This window comes from Homo sapiens, chromosome 5 (genome assembly GCF_000001405.40).
Source record: "Homo sapiens chromosome 5, GRCh38.p14 Primary Assembly".
Classification (NCBI taxonomy): Eukaryota; Metazoa; Chordata; class Mammalia; order Primates; family Hominidae; genus Homo; species Homo sapiens.
In genome coordinates this window covers 68,908,999-68,927,297 of record NC_000005.10, presented here as the reverse complement: position 1 = coordinate 68,927,297, position 18,299 = coordinate 68,908,999, and the positions used below count along the sequence as shown (strand labels likewise).

General features: G+C 42.1%; 2 annotated features.

The window, feature by feature from the left end:
- Positions 4,310–4,890: an enhancer, noted in NCBI's record as "OCT4-NANOG hESC enhancer chr5:68218235-68218815 (GRCh37/hg19 assembly coordinates)". NCBI's record gives its function as "activates a minimal SCP1, AML or CMV promoter by ChIP-STARR-seq in primed H9 embryonic stem cells {active_cell/tissue: H9 hESC(primed)}" and the evidence as "EXISTENCE:reporter gene assay evidence [ECO:0000049][PMID:30033119]".
- Positions 4,891–5,472: an enhancer, noted in NCBI's record as "OCT4-NANOG-H3K27ac-H3K4me1 hESC enhancer chr5:68217653-68218234 (GRCh37/hg19 assembly coordinates)". NCBI's record gives its function as "activates a minimal SCP1, AML or CMV promoter by ChIP-STARR-seq in primed H9 embryonic stem cells {active_cell/tissue: H9 hESC(primed)}" and the evidence as "EXISTENCE:reporter gene assay evidence [ECO:0000049][PMID:30033119]".

The window sequence follows — 18,299 nt, the reverse complement described above, 5'->3', positions numbered from 1 at the left end:
GAGAAGCGGCCGGCTCCAGCGTTTGTTCACTCTAGTTCTCACACTTGTCCACTTGTGTGCTCCCTTCTATATGGGATTGAATGTGGTGGCCGAGTAAATGAGCCACCCCTATCGTAAGTCCCGTGAAGGGGCCAGAGAACTCTCCCATTTCATAGGTATATACAGCCTTTTACTGTATTCATTTGCATAGCTATATGGTATTTAATTATATGAATATATCACAATCTATACATTAATTTTCTGTTTGATGGATGATTACGTTGCTTTCAGTTTTTGCTACCATAAACAATACTGTAATGAACAGTCTTATATGTGCCTCCTGATGTAAGTGTGTGAGTTTCTCTAAGGTATTTACCTAGGAAGAAAATTCCTTAGTCATAGGATGTGTATTTTAAACTTCTCTAGATATTGCCAAACTGTTCTCCAAAGGGATTGTATGTATCCTTTCAAAATTTATTTATTGACCGAGAGTGGCATGTATGTGTAATAGTCAGGTTTTGGAATTGTATTGATTTATTTATTAATATCCTTTTCTTTCAAAAGGTGTGATTCTGGCAAGAGGTGGGGCTGGGGTTTGAACCCAGGACTTCTACTTCAAACTCTCTGCACTTTCTGTTGTTTCATATTTTGTCTCCTCTACCTGAAGGCATCCTACGTCCTTGCATATGAGATTTGAGCCTAAGTGAAAGTATGAGTTCATGTGTAGCTTGGGTGGTACTTGTTTATGTGATTGTGGAGGAGACCCTAATCATTGGCTCCCTTTCTTTTGCTGGTGGTGGGGTTCAGGACGTACTACACCAAAATAGGGCATTTTGGCATTTGACTAAACTGCAGAAGCTGGAGGGTCACTCTCACCTTCCCCTTCCCTTTTCCTCTGAAACAAATCATAAACCTAGTAAGGATTCTCTGACCTTTCCCTGACGCAAGTCATAAGACCCTCATGTGAGAGGCAGCCTCCCTATATCCAGAGGAAGGGAGCCCCCTTATTTTTAAAGACACAGGGACATAGAAGAATCTAACACCTAGGTCTTGTTAAGTTTCCCCCAGTTTATTACCATTAGATCATACCCTTTGTCCAATTGTGTTTTCTACAACTGTCCACTTCATCAAACCAAGCATAAAAAACACATAGGTTTACCCATTTCTTCAGGTCTTCATTTCCTTATGAGGGCCCCCATGTCACATAAAACTTACATTAAATAGATTTCTATGCTTTTTTCTTGTTAATCTCTTTTGTTATAGGAGGCTTAGCCGTGAATCTAGTGATAGATGAGAAAATATATTTTTCTCCTGCACTGTAATGGAGCATTTCTTTTTCTTTTCTTCATTCTTCTTCTAAATCTTTAACTCCATTTTTTTTGAGACCCAAGTAATATGTGTCTCCTGTTCGACTCTCTCCACTCCAGTATCATTTTGCTCGCTAGATTAACTACCCAGCAACTTTTTGGTGGGTATCTTTCTTGTAGGGACATTTTTTAAGACTACGTAATACCCTATTTCTCATCCAAGTGTTACCCACTAGTTTTAGCATCCATTGATGATTACCACTAAACACAGTTATTACTGTGGTGATTGCCAATTAGTGATGTATAATCTTATTTAAACCTCAGAATAACCTCAAGAAATAGGCTTTATTGTCATTGTGAGTATAGACAGCAGCAAGGGAATTAATATAAAGGGTTAGTTGTCATATGTTACCATATGTGAAATAGCTTGATTTAGCCATTCCATAATGTATATCAAAACATCATATTATATACTATAAACATGTAAGCAATTTTTACTTGCAAATTAAAAAAAGTTAAATTTGTAGAAGGAATGCTAAAGTCTCTTTATCCATCTCTAAGAACTGGATTCTATGAACTTTTCAATACCTTATTCTATACCTTTAAAAAAAAGGCAGCACAATTGAGAATAAAACTGCCCCAACAACTTGTATTTCATCTAAAGGAATCTATTTGCTAAAGTTGGAAAAAAAAAAAAGAAAACCAAAACTTCTTCTACAAGGTGTTCTAAAGGCCTGTAGGCAGCTTCTGGACCCAAGTTGATGTTTTATTCTAATAGGACCTGCAGGGGTCAACTTCTCTTGTAAAGGAAGGCTAAAATGTCACTGTGCATCAAGAGATGTGTTCCTACTTCTAATCCTCATGTTTAAAAACATGTATACTGGGGGAAAGAATGCTTCACGTCCTTATCAAGTAGGGCATAACAAAATTGGAAATTGGTTCGTGATTTATTGCACCTCCGGCGACACACTGAAGTGTGTAGTAAAATTAACTTTTGGTATATACAGTAGCTGCTTGCACAGCATGACTAAAGAAAGACCCTGTGAGTAGGAGAGGTCGCAGATGAATGAGGCCAGAAATGGAAAACTTCCATGGGTTCAAGCAGCACAAATGTGTGTTGCTGGAATTTGCTAGCATTTGCATTCGATCTTTGTGGCTAGTGGGAATATAGACTCAGAAAGCCCTGAAGGTCCTCCTCAGTTCCTTCCTCCAGCCACCTGGACCTGTGAAAGTCCCTTTGATAACAAGGGTCTCTTTGTTTGTAGTTGAGTCAGGCTGCTACCAGTCGGCAAGCAGAGAGTTGAGCAGAAGTCCAGACTGCAATTGCACAAGACCATATTGTTGCAGCCTCAGGGTTGTGAGGCATTTTTGGCGAGCAGGATATTTTGAACACCCACAGGAGCTCAGAGTTGTGGACATAGCCATGGACAGGGAAAATATTTGATAGCAGAGCCCTTTCTGGAAATTCCCACGTGGTGAACAAGAATGTGCAGTGGAATTTTGGTTTCATATTAAAATCCCTTGAAGCGGGCCCTAGGACTGTATGGGGTTCTCAGATCTTTCCCTTAATGAAATCGCCAAATGCAACACTTTAGCATTAGGACTGCATTGCAGTAATATAAACCAAAGATGGGCTAATTTACATTTGTGCCCACACCGTTAATGTAAATTGCTTATTAGCTATTTATGTTAAAGAGCAGCAATATAAAACATAAAGGTAGTTTTATTAACTACATCTTGCCCTCTGAAATCTGCTGTGCGTGGAGTTTACAATCAGTGATTTTCTTCCCCCCTCCATGCAGTATGGCATTTACTCTGCCTAATTAACATATTTATTAACAAATTACTGCCCTCTTTCGGCAATTTGCATTTTATAACACATCACTACAATGAAGTTAATAAGGCAGTCCCATGCCCTGCTTTTGTGATTCTACTGGAATGTTGCATTAGCCTTTTTGTCTCCTCTTGCTTTCATTTCTGTTTTAGGCAGGGGTAAAGACAAATGGCATTTACAAACAATGATAATGCAGGAATAATGGGGATGTAAATGAGTTTCAGTCATCACATCCTTTTTTGAGGCTATGGACAGGTGTGAGCAGGAATGTGAGTTGGGGAGGAACTTGTTACCCCAGATGCCCAGACTCCTATTAACTTTACTAGGGATGGCACCAACTTCAAGAGGCCGAAGAAGAGACCTGGAGTCAGCAAACAAGACATAAGGTTTTATTTGGGGGAACTTGCATACAGGGAATATATAGGGACGGTCCAGAGGGAGTGGGCTGCACAGGAGAAACAACCACTTGTGAAAAGCACGCAGTTTATGTAGCACCTTCACTTAGCACCCTCTCCCTACCAACCTCCTGGTGGCAGCCCTAATTTCTTAACTTGTTGCTGTCGGGTGCATCTGCCACAAGGGTCATTCTCAGGGTATGCGTAAGTTATTGTTGACGTGTTTCTACTATATAGGACCAAATCATGCATCTTATGCTCTGCCCCTAGGTCATCTTCTGCCTCACCAATCTGGGAAGGCCATACTTCTTACTTTTTCTCTCATACTGATAATTTCAGGACGTAGACACCGGCTATAAGGAGTCAAGAGCAAAAAGAATGTGGGATCAGTTCTTGGGATATTTAAGAAAAAGTACATATTTGTTATAACAAGTTTCTAGAACTGGTTCTCAACCTTAACAATACTAATGCCTGAGTATACGGCATAAAAATTCAATAAAACTTTCTAGGAGTGGGTCCTAGGAGGTTCCAATGTGCAGCCAGCGTTGCCAGAGTTGTGAACTACTTCTCTTAAGGGCTTTCTAGACCAGGATTTCTAAAATCTTTGGGTATGGCAACACCCTTTTTTTTTTTTTTTTTTTTTTTTTTTTGGTAAGGCCATCATCTAACTGAAAGTATGCAAAACTTGAAAATCTATTCTTCTTAAAATTAAAAAATGAATTCACTTTTGAGAATTTGGGGTGAAATTTAATATGTGGCATTGAAATAATTGGAGTCCATACATAAGAATCGTCAATCCTGGTTAGGAGACTTATCATTGATATGAGGGCGTGCCTTATTCTTTCAACAGTCACTTCACTTTAAATCCAACCCTTAAAGCAATATTCACAGCAGGGCTGTCTTAATACCACCTGAACCTAAGAGGAGCAGGTTGCTTCCTGCAATCCTGTTGGTCTCACCTGCGTTTCCCCTTTGAGCTCTCTTGTTGCTTTTTTCTCTTGTTTTATGCTTAGACTTATGCTGAAGGAGCTAAGGAAAGCTTTCCCTGGAGGAAAACTTCTCTGAAGGTTTGCTGACAGTACTGACAACGGACAGATCAATAGGAGAAAAGGTGTACCAATTTATTTAATGTGCATAAGCCCAGGGGAATTGCATGAGAATGATCCCCCAACAACCCAGTGGGGGACAAATGTTTACATACTGTTCTTCACAGGGGATGAGGAAGTTGGGGAATGTAGGCAATTCTTTTAAGGGGTAGTAACTGACTATTAGGGAGAATGAATGAAACAGGGAGACAGAAATTAACTTGTAAATGATTCTTTTTGCAATTTGAATGAGCCCAAGAGGCAGGCATTATCTTGTGAAAAAGTCCATCCAGGTGTGGTTGCATTCCTCAGTCTTCTTTTCTGTGATGGGCAGTGAGATTTCAGAGCAGGGATGGAAGGCAATTGTGTTCTCTTTGGCAGATCCAGTCTTAAGGTAGATAAGAGAATATCAGAGGAGAGCCTCTTTCAAGCATCTGCTGACCTTCAAGTGCCTTTAATTTAAAATATCAGTATACCATGGTGCTATATTTTGGAGTGGAATTCCCTGGGCTACTTCACCTATATATATAGTGTTTCCTTGCAAACAACTTGAAATGCCACAAAAAAGTAATGTAAATAACTAGAGTCGTTTGGAGAGATCTAACGGTTAAAAATGGAGACATTAGCAGGGATGCAATATTAAGGAATCTTGTTGGTAGCTATGCTTGTTACAGTAGGTAGACAGTCAGGCATGAGCAGGGCAGGAGAGGGCCCTTGCCCCCACCAGGAATGGCAGTGTGTCTGGAATTGGTGGGTTCTTGGTCTCACTGACTTCAAGAATGAAGCCGCGGACCCTCGCAGTGAGTGTTACAATTCTTAAAGGTGGTGTGTCTGGAGTTTGTTCCTTCTGATGTTAGGATGTGTTCAGAGTTTCTTCCTTCTGTTGGGTTCGTGGTCTCGCTGGCCTCAGGAGTGAACCTGCAGACCTTCGCGGTGAGTGTTACAGCTCATGAAGGCAGTGCGGACCCAAAGACTGAGCAGCAGCAAGATTTATTGCAAAGTGCGAAAGAACAAAGCTTCCACAGTGTGGAAAGGGACCGGAGCGGGTTGCCCCTGCTGGCTCGGGCAGCCTGCTTTTATTCCCTTATCTGGCCCCACCCACATCCTGCTGATTGGTTCATTTTACAGAGAGCTGATTGGTCCGTTTCGACAGGGTGCTGATTGGTGCCTTTATAATCCCTGAGTTAGACACAAAAGTTCTCCAAGTCCCCACTAGATTAGCTAGACACAGAGCACTGATTGGTGCATTTACAAACCTTGAGTTAGACACAGGGTGCTGATTGGTATGTTTACAAACCTTGAGCTAGACACAGAGTGCTGATTGGTGTATTTACAATCCCTCAGCTAGACATAAAGGTTCTCCAAGTCCCCACTAGACTCAGGAGCCCAGTGGATCCCACACCGGGGGCTGCAGGCAGAGCTGCCCGCCAGTCCTGCGCTGCGCACCCGCACTCCTCAGGCCTTGAGCGGCTGATGGGACCAGGTGCCGTGGAGTAGGGAGCTGTGCTCCTCGGGGAGGTTCAGGCCGCGCAGGAGCCCACGGCTAGGGGGAGGCTTGGGCATGGCAGGCTGCAGTTCCTGAGCCCTGCCCCACAGGGAGGCAGCTGAGACCCTGCGAGAATTTGAGCGCAGTGCCAGCGGGCCGGCTCTGCTGGGGGACCTGGTGCACCCTCCGCAGCTGCTGGCCCGGGTGCTAAGCCCCTCACTGCCCTGGCCGCGGGTGCCGGCCGGCTGCTCTGAGTGCGGGGCCCGCCGAGCCCATGCCCACCCCGAACTCGAGCTGGTCTGCTGCGCGCAGCCCCGGTTCCCTTCCGCGCCTCTCCTCCGCACCTCCCTGCAAGCAGAGGAAGCTGGCTGTGGTCTCAACCAGCCCAGAAAGGGGCTCCCATAGTGCAGTGGTGGGCTGAAGGGCTCCTCAAGTGTGGCCAGAGTGGGCGCCAAGGCCGAGGAGGTGCCGAGAGCGAGCGAGGGCTGCCAGCACACTGTCACCTCTCAGCAGGAAACCATCAGGTGATGGTCAGGCAGTTGTTAAGCTGTCTCTAAAATAATAATTGGTCACAGCCAGTGCCAGGGAAAGGCAGTTTCCCAATAATTTTTGGCTCCCTGGTCCATTCATTCTCCCTAATAATCATTTACTACCCCTTTAAAGAATTGCATACATTCCCCAACTTCCCCATCCCCTGTGAAGAAGGGTATATAAACATCTGTGCCCCATTGGGTTGTTGGGGAATCATGCTGGGTTTATGTACATTCAATAAATTAGTCTGCCTTTTCTCCTATTAATCTGTCCATTGTCAGTATTTTCAGCAATTGAGAAACTGCTTGTCAACCATCTGAAACTGGTGATCAGCAGCTTACCAATAAGATCTCAGGAGTTGGGCAAATGGGCCCAAGCATGCGCATTAAGAGGCAAAATGGTGGAGTTTAACTGGTATATTATGACCTTCAGAGGCCATAAAGGGAAGAACACCTCAGGTAGGCATGCATACAACTCCAGTAAACACACTGCGCTTGCTTACCTCCCAAATGCTAGTAGGCTACTGTGCTGTGTGGGCAGCTCACCCCAAGGGAATAATCAAGAGAGGAGGGATGTAAGACCCTGGAAGAATGGCAACATATAAAACCCCAAGTCAAGAGGTCAAACCTTGCACTTGTCCTGCAAGATGGCTGCTTGGCCCTCTTCCAAGTGTACTTTACTTTCTTTTCGTTCGTGTTCTAAAGCTTTTTAATAAACTTTCACTTCTGTTCTAAAACTTGCCTCAGTCTCTTTTTCTGCCTTATGCCTCTCAGTCAAATTCTTTCTTCTGAGGAGGCAAGAACTGAGGTTGCTGTAGACCTGTATGGATATGCTGCTGGTGACTCGGATACTCGCCACTGCTAACATACTTTTCCCGAGGACCCTCTCTTCCTCTTCTTTTCACAGTTTTAGCCTGGGCTGAGAAATTGCTGTAAAGAATGGGCACCACAGTCATATCTTCTCACTCTACCCTCTGTGTGATCCCATCACTGATGATTTCTGTCAGTAGCTTATATCCGTGTCAGGACAAGAGTAAGAGAACTGAAGTGGACTGCTGAAAGATACGTGTAAGACCAAGGCCCACAAAGAAGGGAGAATCAATTCATGGTTTTCTATGATTTCTTAGTTCAGAAAGAGGCTCTAGGTCAGAAGTCTCTAACTTGTGTATGAATTGGCTCCATGACACTCAGGTGCAATAAGAAAGCATTTTTCTTTATATTTTAAACATCAAATTATATATGGCTTATTATGTTTATTTTTTAAGAGCCTGTAGTGTGTCCAGTTCTTCATAAAGTACTCTTGTCATTGAAACTGCCTTGCAAAAATTATAACAGAGAAATCTGACCTTACTGATTCCATCTTGTTTCTTTTCTTTTCTTTCTTTTTTTTTTTTTTTTTTGAGATGGAGTCTTGCTCTGTCGCCCAGGCTGGAGTGCAGTGAGTGGTGCAATCTCGGCTCACTGCAAGCTCCACCTTCTGGGTTCACGCCATTCTCTTGCCTCAGCCTCCCAAGTAGGTGGGACTACAGGCGCTCGCCACCATGCCAGGCTAATTTTTTGTATTTTTAGTAGAGACGGAGTTTCACTGTGTTAGCCAGGATGGTCTCGATCTCCTGACCTTGTGATCCGCCTGCCTCAGCCTCCCAAAGTGCTGGGATTACAGGCATGAGCCCCCGCGCCTGGCCCCTTCTCGTTTCTAAACTCACAAGCTAACTGCCTTTGTTAACTTTAAAACAAATATGATAACAGTTTCCTCGCAAAACTAACTCCCTCCTTGCTTGGGGACCAAAATTGCTTTTGTGATACTAATGAAAGGCAATAAGATTAGCATTATGGGAGGGGCCTGAATTCTGCTGAGATATAGGTGTAAACAATAACCAGTATTGTTCCCTAGATTGCTTTTCTAAAATTGTTTACTGTCAAGAGTCACATAGCCAGAGATCACAAGATTTGAAACTTTCCTAATTGTTCCTATAGATAATATACCTAAGGTTGGTCTTTGAAATATTTTCCAGGCTTTTGCATTCTGGCAACTGACTGACTCCACCTGGACCCATGACTCACCTGGTCTTGTGACCCCACCACCCCCTGCCCCCCAGAAATTGACTCAGCACACGAAGACATTTGGGACATTCCTATGATTTCATCTCTAACCAATCAGCAGCACCCATTCTATAGCCTTCTGCCCACAAAATTATCCTTCAAAACCCTAGACTCTGAGCTGTCAGGGAGGTGGATTTGAGAATTATCTCTCATCCTTCTGCTTGGCTGGCCTTGTGATTATGGAACTCCTCTTTGCTGCAAAACGTGCTGTTCTCAGTGCATTGGCTGTCCTGGGCAGCAGGCAAGAAGAACCTGTCAGAATGTCGTATCACGCTCCTGATTCTTGAGTAAGAGGACATCTTAGAGCACATGTTCTCTATATATGTATCTTCTCCTCTCTGTGAGGTTTGCTTAAGACTAGTGTCAGGAAAAGGCATCAGGACAGTGCATCCTACTTCATTAGAATAAAACTTAAATGCCCAGTCCAGTGACAATTCCATAGAGCTATTTTGTTTCTCTTCAAGCTCCTATTTATCCAAACAGTGATCCCAGACTAGGGACCAGATATCTGGCTGTCTTGACATGGCCCCAAATACATAATAACATTAATAAGCATCAACTTTATTAGTTTAGGACTTTAATTTCTTACTTCAAATTAAGCCAGTTAATTTTAATCCTGAGTATTTCAAGGAAATGCAAAAAGACCCTAAAGCAGGTTTCTTAGCTTGGGATTAATTCATAGGTCCCCTGAGGGTCTGGCTGGGCTTTAGTAGGCTTGTGAACCTCCTGAAATTGAATGAAAAAATTTGAATGAATTTTGTATACTTTTTTTTTGGTGAGAGGGTTTGAGACTTCTATCAGATTCTCAAGGTGATTTGTGGGCTAAATAGGTTAATACCTGTCATTGATTCTGGATTTTAGGATTATGAAAAATGTACACTATATTGATAGGGTGGGATCTTCAGGATAAGTCCTTAAAAACAAATATTTATAGCTTTTTTTTGTATTTTGTATACTTTTTGTATACTTTCTTTGGTGAGAGGGTTTGAGACATCTATCAGACTCTCAAGGTGATTTATGGGCTTAAATATGTTAATACCTATTATTGATTCTGGATTATGAAAAATGTGCATTATGTTGATAGGGTGGGATCTTCAAGATAAGTCCTTAAAAACAAATATAGCCACCATGGGTGTGCTAAATTATACAAATCTGACTTCTCGGTTCTTTTTCTTTGAGCCAGCGTCTCACTCTGTGACCCAATCTGGAGTGCCGTGGCACAATCTTGGTTCAGTGCAACCTCTGCTTCCCAGGCTCAAGCGATCCTCCCACCTCAGCCTCCTGAGTAGCTGGGAATGCAGGTGTGTGCCACCATGCCTGGCTAATTTTCACATTTTTTGTAGACGGGGTTTCTCCATGTTGCCCAGTCTGGTCTCAAACTCCCGAGCTCAAGCAATCCTCCCACCTTGGCCTCCCAAAGTGCTGGGATTATAGGTGTGAGCCACTGCACCCAGCCTGACTTCTCAGTTCTAAAGCCCCTTCTGATTCTCGTTCCCTTATGTGTCAGGTTACCCAGGATAGGGATCCACAAGTGCCAAATGAATGCAGGGGATATGTGGAACCATAGGATCAGGCATTTCCTAGGCTCAGTCTGCCCTGGCTTCAAAGGAAATGAAAAAACATTTTTTAAAAGAAGACACACAAATGACCAACAAGCATATGAAAAAATGCTCAACGTCACTAATCATCAGAGCCATGCAAATTACAACCATAATGAAATATCATCTTATGCCAATATGAATGGCTATTATTAAAAAGTAAAAAAATAACAGATGTTAGCAGGATGGAGAAAAGAGAATCCTTATACTGTAAACTAGTATAACCTCTATCAGAAAAAGTATGGTGATTTCTCAAAGAACTAAAAATACAACTACCATTTGATCCAGCAATCCCACTTCTGGGTATCTACCCAAAGGAAAAGAAATCATATCAAAAGATACTTATATGTTTATCACAGCACTATTTACAATAGCAAAGATATGGAATCAACCTAAGTGTTTATCAGTGGATGATTAAATAGAGAAAATGTATCTATATATACAATGGAATACTATTCAGCCATAAAAAATGAAATCATGTATTTTGCAGCAATGTGGCTGGAACTGAGGGCCATTAACTTACATGAAACAACACAGAAACACAGTAAAATACCACATGTTCCCACTTATAAGTGGGAGCTAAATAATATATAGATATGGACATAGAGTATGGGATAATAGACATTGGAGACTTGGAAGGGTGGGAGGAGGTGAGAGATGAGAAATTCATGAGTACAATATGCATTATTTAGGTGATGGCAACACTAAACACTCAGACTTCACCATCGTGCAATATCTCTATGTAAAAACAACTCTGGCTGGGTGTGGTGGCTCGTGCCTGTCATCCCAGCACTTTGGGAGGCCGAGGCAGGCAGATCACTTGAGGTCAGGAGTTCGAGACCAGCCTGGCCAACATGATAAACCTCCATCTCTACCGAAAATACAAAAAAGTAGCCAGGCATGGTGGCACATGCTTGTAATCCCAGCCACTTGGGAGGCTGAGGCAGGAGAATTGCTTGAACCTAGGAGATGGAGGTTGCAGTGAGCTGAGATGGCACCACTGCACTCCAGCCTGAGCAGTAGAGCAAAACTCTGTTTCAAAACAACCTCAAAACTCCCTCCACTTGTACCCCTTAAACATATGCCAAAAAAAAAAAAAAAACAAAAAACCTGCCCTGGCTCCTGGTAGAACTGCATAACTCAAGTGAAGCCGAGGGGGCTGGGTGTCATGGGGTGCTGGAGAGGCATCAGCCACAGCCGTGTGATGACATTTGGTACATTTCCCTATTGGAGCAGGTGAATCCTTAGTCCAGTCTCCTGGAAAAAGCAAGCAGTGACTACTGATTCCTTTCATCCCTGCAAAATAATAGACTTGGGGGTTTCTCTGAGGAAATAGGGCAACATGGTGGTACATAAATTTCATTACTCTTATTATCATCACTCTGATTTTAATTTGATTTAAAAATTTTATTGGTCCTAATTGTAGCAGTTATGAATGTTTATGTTATTTTCTGCCATTTCTAATTTCTGCAAAGAATACAGATCTCTTCTTCTTGATAATTGAAAATGACTTCTGCTTAATGGATTCATGCATTCATATGGAATCTCAATCTTTGGCTTTGACATTAAGGGTTAGTGCATATTATTAGCTCTTTTAAAAATTATATTCTTTTATAACCCAGTAATTTCTGATCTGTATGATCTAATAGTCTGATTTTTTTTATTATGGAGGAAAATTAGTCAATTTGGAATGCAAGAAAAAGCTAAATAAGCATATTTTTATATGCAAAAATAAGAATAGTGCCTAATGATATTTTGCTAAAGATTTTATTTGAAAAATTTCATCTGAAGTAATGCCCGATGGGGATCTCTGTAGATAATGGGTAAGAGTGAGTGTTTGCCTTTGTACCAGGCACACTTCTAGGTCTTAAGGGGTTAAAAGATATTTGGTCCACCCTTGTTAGAACAGGCTGTTATATTAGGAAGATTTGGATAAATACTCAGGAAAGCCCTTGTAAGAGAATAACCTGTTGCAGTCTATTTGTGTTATGGTCACCGTATGCATAAGCTAATTTTAAATATTAAAACTCTAATTATAAAAGACCACTTTCCTGAGGGATGGACCATGTGGGGAAGGGGGAAGGGTGCGGCCCTGAGGGATGAGTCACAGAGCCAGGGAGTGGGGGGGTGGAGGTGATAACTGACCAGCCTGTGTAGGATGATTCCTTGGGGTGCCCTGTATCCCAAGGGAGAAACTCAAATCGGGTTTGCTCCTCTGATTGTAATTGAGAAGACGGTGTCCTTAGATGGAGTACTTCCATAGATAGCTCTCACATATTGAGAAATAAAAATAGCTGCAATTTTGACATGGGGCAGGGAAGTCAGAGAGAAGTACCCTAAATAATACGGTGCACATTGCACTAAGTTGTCTGTGGTTCGAGAGCAGTTACTGGCAGGAGAATGGGGGTTCCGTAAAGCGGTCTCAAGCTTTTACTGAGATTCTCGAGATTAGAGTCCTTTATGTCTTTGTCTGATCCTATTTGCAATTTCTTATTTTCCCCAGTATCTTGTTTTTTTTTTTTTTAAGAAATGCTGCTTGAACCCAACTGCTTATCTTTGTTATATTAAGGCAAATAAGGGAAGGGTGTTGTTTCTGGACTTGGACTCAGAGAAGAACAACAGGAGAAGACCCGAAGGCTGTAGATGTGGGTCCAAGTGGCCCAGTTCAATCGACCGAGCACCTGCCCTGCTTGCTGTAGATGCAGGTGCGAGGCAGTACTGGGTTTTTGATCTGGATTTGAAGCCCTGTACTGTCACTTTATAACTGTGTGACTTTGAGCAAAATCACTAAAACTCAGCATCTCAGTTTTCTCATCTATATAATGGGGATAATAATACTTGCCTCATGAAACTGATGCTGCATGAAATAAGATAATGTAGTGAGTCCTCAAGCAAGGTGGTTGCTGTGTTGGTGCTGACCTTGGTGTTAATGTTGCTGTGATTCCTGCGTGGATACATTTTCAATTCAATGCTTTGAATGCTATTTATAATGAAGATGGGGCAAGATACTTAACTGAGATTTAAATGGTGTTTTCTCTCTCTGTTCCCCCACTCTTTCAAACAGAAAGCTGAACCCTTTTTATGTCCCTTTGTCTCAGGGAGGGTCCTATTTTTCATGAAACTCTGAATAAGGAGTCCTGGGAAGGAGAGGTCAGATAGAGAAGTCTTAGAAGACACTGAGAATGGGAGGAGGTGGGTGGGTGGGTCCTGGAACAGCAGGTAGCAGAACTTGGCTTGGAGGCAGCTCCCTGTGGAGCACAGGCGTCTAAGAGGCTGGGCTGAGTGGTGCACCTGGGGGTTCCTGGGCCTTGGGCTTGAGGCACCAGGATGTCCATCCAGTCTGGCTGCAGATTTCAGGACCCTAAACATGGCTTGGAAGAGGGGCCATGAGGACCGGGACAACAGCATCTTACCAGTCACCCACCCATATGGGCAGAGTGAAAATAATGAGAGGGGTCTCTTGACGGTTTGCTAACACTGTGGAGGGCAATTCCTGGCCAGAATGAAGGCTCAGGCTTCTGCCAGCCCGTTAGGGGGCATGCTCAGAGTTAGGTTTCATTTCATGCAGGTAAAATGAAGATAGTGATGTTTTTGTATACTTGATTTTGGTTGAAATTCACACATATTACAGAGCTATGCATAGATTTCAAGAGTACAGAAAAGGCACACCTGACCTAGGCCAGGGTGTAGTGAAAGAGTTCCTTAAAGAGCTGACACCTGAGTTAAATCCCAAACGATGAACAGGAGTTATCCGTGGAGAGGGGTTGGGGAAAGGAGTTCGAGGCAGACAGAACAGCGTGAGATTGCACAGTGTGTGTGGAGAACAACAGATAATTTAGAGTTGCTGCATGTAACTAACTGCATTGAGAATGTTGAGAAATGATTCTAGACCAGCACTGCCCATTAGAAGTTTCTGCAACAGTGGTGTATTTGCTTTCTCTTGAGGCTGTAACAAATTACCACAAAATTAGTGACTTACAATAACACAAATTTATTATCTCACAATTCTGGAGGTCAGAAGTCCAAAATGTGTCTCACTGCACTGGGCTAGAATCAAGGTGCCACCAGGGATATGTTTCTTTCTGGAAATTCTCATGGAAAATCAATTTTCCTGCTTTTTCAAGTTCCAGGAGGCTGCCTGAGTTCCTTGGCCTGCACCCTTTTCTTCCAGTTTCAAAGCTAGCAATGCTGGCCGAGTCTTCCTCACACTGTCACTCTGATGCTGACTCTTTTGCTTCCCTCCCTCACATTTAAGGATTTTTGTGATTACACTGGGCCCAGGCTGGTAGCCCAGGATAATCTATTTTCAGGTCACTTGATTAGCAATCTTAATGCTGTCCACTACCTTAATTCCTCCTGCCATGCAACCACATATTCACATGTTCTGGGGATTAGGACATGGACGTCTTTGGAAGGCTGTTATGCTGCCTACCACAGATAGAAACATTCTATATCTGTGCTGTCTAATATAGTAGACACTAGCCACATGTGGCTATTTAAATTTAAACCAATTAAAATAAATAAAACTAAACATTCAGTCTCTCAGTCACCCTAGCCACAGTTCACATGCTCAGTAGCCACATGTGGTTATTGGTTACTGTATTGGACAGTACTGCTCTAGAAGGAGGGTGCTGCCAGATAAGGTAGGGCCCAGGACTTCTCAACCTCTTCCACTAAAGTACCCTTGAGAGTAGATGAGCCTGCACCCATGGCATCAGTAGATGTGGGGTAGCTAATGAGACCTAATTCAAACACCAACTTTCTTTAGAGAAAGACATTTTTATTTTATCTAATAATATATTCAAGTTTATGTTATTAAACAAGTATATATATTTCCATGTCTTCAAGTAAAACCAGCATTCTGGGAAAGTCACCATGTTTATTCTGGAACTCTCCTGGCACATTGCCATACATTCCAGTGGTGATACGCATACCGACAGAAGTCCAGCTGTGGAGATTTCTGGGCAGAGGAGGAATATGGTCCCATTTGAAGAGGGACCCCAGGGAGCAGTGGGGGCAGGGGATGGGGGATGCCTTTGACAGGATGTAGACTAGAGGTAAAGAGACCAGCTAAGGGGCTGTAGGAGGACAGCTACATATCCTTGCCCTCTTGAACTCAGGCGGTGGTATGTCACTTGCTCGGGCCAATGAAATGTGGGGCAGAAGCTCTAAAAGTCAGTTCCTGCTTTGTGATACTCAGTTTTCCCAGAGTGCAGACAGTGTGGGCAGCACTGCAACTTCTCATGGTGGACATATCATGTGAGCAAGAAATTAGCAGATATTATTGTCAAGATTTTAGGATTATTTGTTAGCACAGCAGAGCTTAGCTTATCCATATTGGCACAGAGATGGTGCAGGATACTTGCACAGAGGCCTTGGCTGTATAAAATGTCTATTAGAGAGATGTTGACTTAAAATGGCTAAAGCTCGTGGGTGATTCCGAGCCTTAAGCTAGATTTATACTGTTTGCTTGTCTTTATACAACAATAATTCTTTTTTTTCCAAGTTAAGATTCTTTTTACTATTTAGTTTATGCTCTTAGACAAATCAAATTACGTAGAGCCAAGATCATTTTCATGAGAATACTGTCTGATTGGATTTGGGTAGCAAGAACAGAGCATGGAAACATAATTTAGGAGAGACAAGATTTTTCTGTTCACTAGAATTGTTGGAAATTGAGAAGATGGGTTTGCATCTTTCATATGACTTTCTTCCCTGGTTTATTCCACTGAGTTGTCATTAGTTTGAGATTACCCTTCTAATCCCAATAGATAGAATTTTGGTAGTAATTTTTAGAACTAATTGAGCAATAAAAACAAGTTAATGCTTGACTTGGATATTTTTTTCATTTACCTAATCAGTAATAAGTAATACTATCTGTTTCCTTAGAGCAGTAAATAATAGTACTATCACATCTGATAAAATATATCATATACCAGGCCCCAAATTGGAATGTATGTCCCACATACAATGATCTTCTTCTGAGGACAGAGGTTTTAACAGTCAGAAGAGACCCAGTAGCAGCATGGAAAAATGCTGTGAATTGCCCACAGTGGTTATGACATTTTTCTGTCCAACTTTGAGGAGTTTATGTTATTGTTACCTGGCCTATTTGTGTGCATAAATGAAGGCTTGGAAAGTAAGTGGAGTTACTGCTGGGGGAGGAGAACAAGTATATTAAAATAGGTGGCATGAGCCAAAAGGTGTATAATGAGTTGACTGAGGCCCACTGTTCACCTAGATGGGCGTCTGTTTCCTTTTTTGTTTCTGGTAGGATAATACAAAAATACCCTTTGTTGCTCTTGTAGGCCAAAGCATGAATCTTAAAAAACAGAGGAGCCACAATGAATGTGCTTTTCGTGGGCCCTTCAGTGGTGGTGGTCAGGGGAGGATGGGGGCAAATAGGGTTGGTGTGCAACCTCATCAGGATTCAAAATGTTGTGGGCCATTTGCTGCTTTTGCTTCTATTGACAAAATTATCCCCATGTGAAGGGGAAAAATGTCAGGGAGGAAGATGTATTAGGTGGTAACTTTGTTCTTTTTTAACATTCTTAGGCTGTTTTTAGAAAGGGACAGGAAAATTTTCATACATTTCCTGAGGATATGGATATGCAAAGTCATAAACTCTATATTTTTGATGGGTATTAGTATATACCCACACTGCAGTCAATACCTAGAGCAGAGTTGACGATTTTTTTCCCTTGCCAAGAGAGGAATTTTGCCAATAGAAGCTTTTCTATGTAATGAGCAAAAATAACTATATAGTAAAGTAGAGTGTCTTACGTAAATTGTAAAGTGACTCACATTTGTTCCTAGGAGATGTAGTAAAATAAAAGATTGTTTTTCTGACTGAAGAGTTGTCAGTAAGAAAATCACAGCTATATTGCCGGGCGTGGTGGTTCACGCCTGTAATCCCAGCACTTTGGGAGGCCGAGGTGGGTGGATCATGAGGTCAGGAGATCGAGACCATCCTGGCTAACACAGTGAAACCCCATCTCTACTTAAAAAAAAAAGTTACAAAATCGATGTACAAAAATCACAAGCATTCTTATATACCAATAACAGACAAACAGAGAGCCAAATCATGAGTGAACTCCCATTCACAATTGCTTCAAAGAGAATAAAATACCTAGGAATCCAACTTACAAGGGATGTGAAGGACCTCTTCAAGGAGAACTACAAACCACTGCTCAATGAAATAAAAGAGGATACAAACAAATGGAAGAATATTCCATGCTCATGGGTAGGAAGAATCAATATCGTTAAAATGGCCATACTGCCCAAGGTAATTTATAGATTCAATGCCATCCCCATCAAGCTACCAATGACTTTCTTCACAGAATTGGAAAAAACTACTTTAAAGTTCATATGGAACCAAAAAAGAGCCCGCATTGCCAAGTCAATCCTAAGCTAAAAGAACAAAGCTGGAGGCATCACGCTACCTGACTTCAAACTATACTACGAGGCTATAGTAACCAAAACAGCATGGTAGTGGTACCAAAACAGAGATATAGACCAACGGAACAGAAGAGAGCCCTCAGAAATAATGCCACATATCTACAACTACCTGATCTTTGACAAAACTGACAAAAACAAGAAATGGGGAAAGGATTCCCTATTTAATAAATGGTGCTGGGAAAACTGGCTAGCCATATGTAGAAAGCTGAAACTGGATCCCTTCCTTACACCTTATACAAAAATTAATTCATGATGGATTAAAGACTTAAATGTTAAACCTAAAACCATAAAAACCCTAGAAGAAAACCTAGGCAGTACCATTCAGGACATAGGCATGGGCAAGGACTTCATGTCTAAAACACCAAAAGCAATGGCAACAAAAGCCAAAATTGACAAATAGGATCTAATTAAAGTAAAGAGCTTCTGCACAGCAAAAGAAACTACCATCAGAGTGAACAGGCAACCTACAGGATGGGAGAAAATTTTTGCAATCTACTCATCTGACAAAGGGCTAATATCCAGAA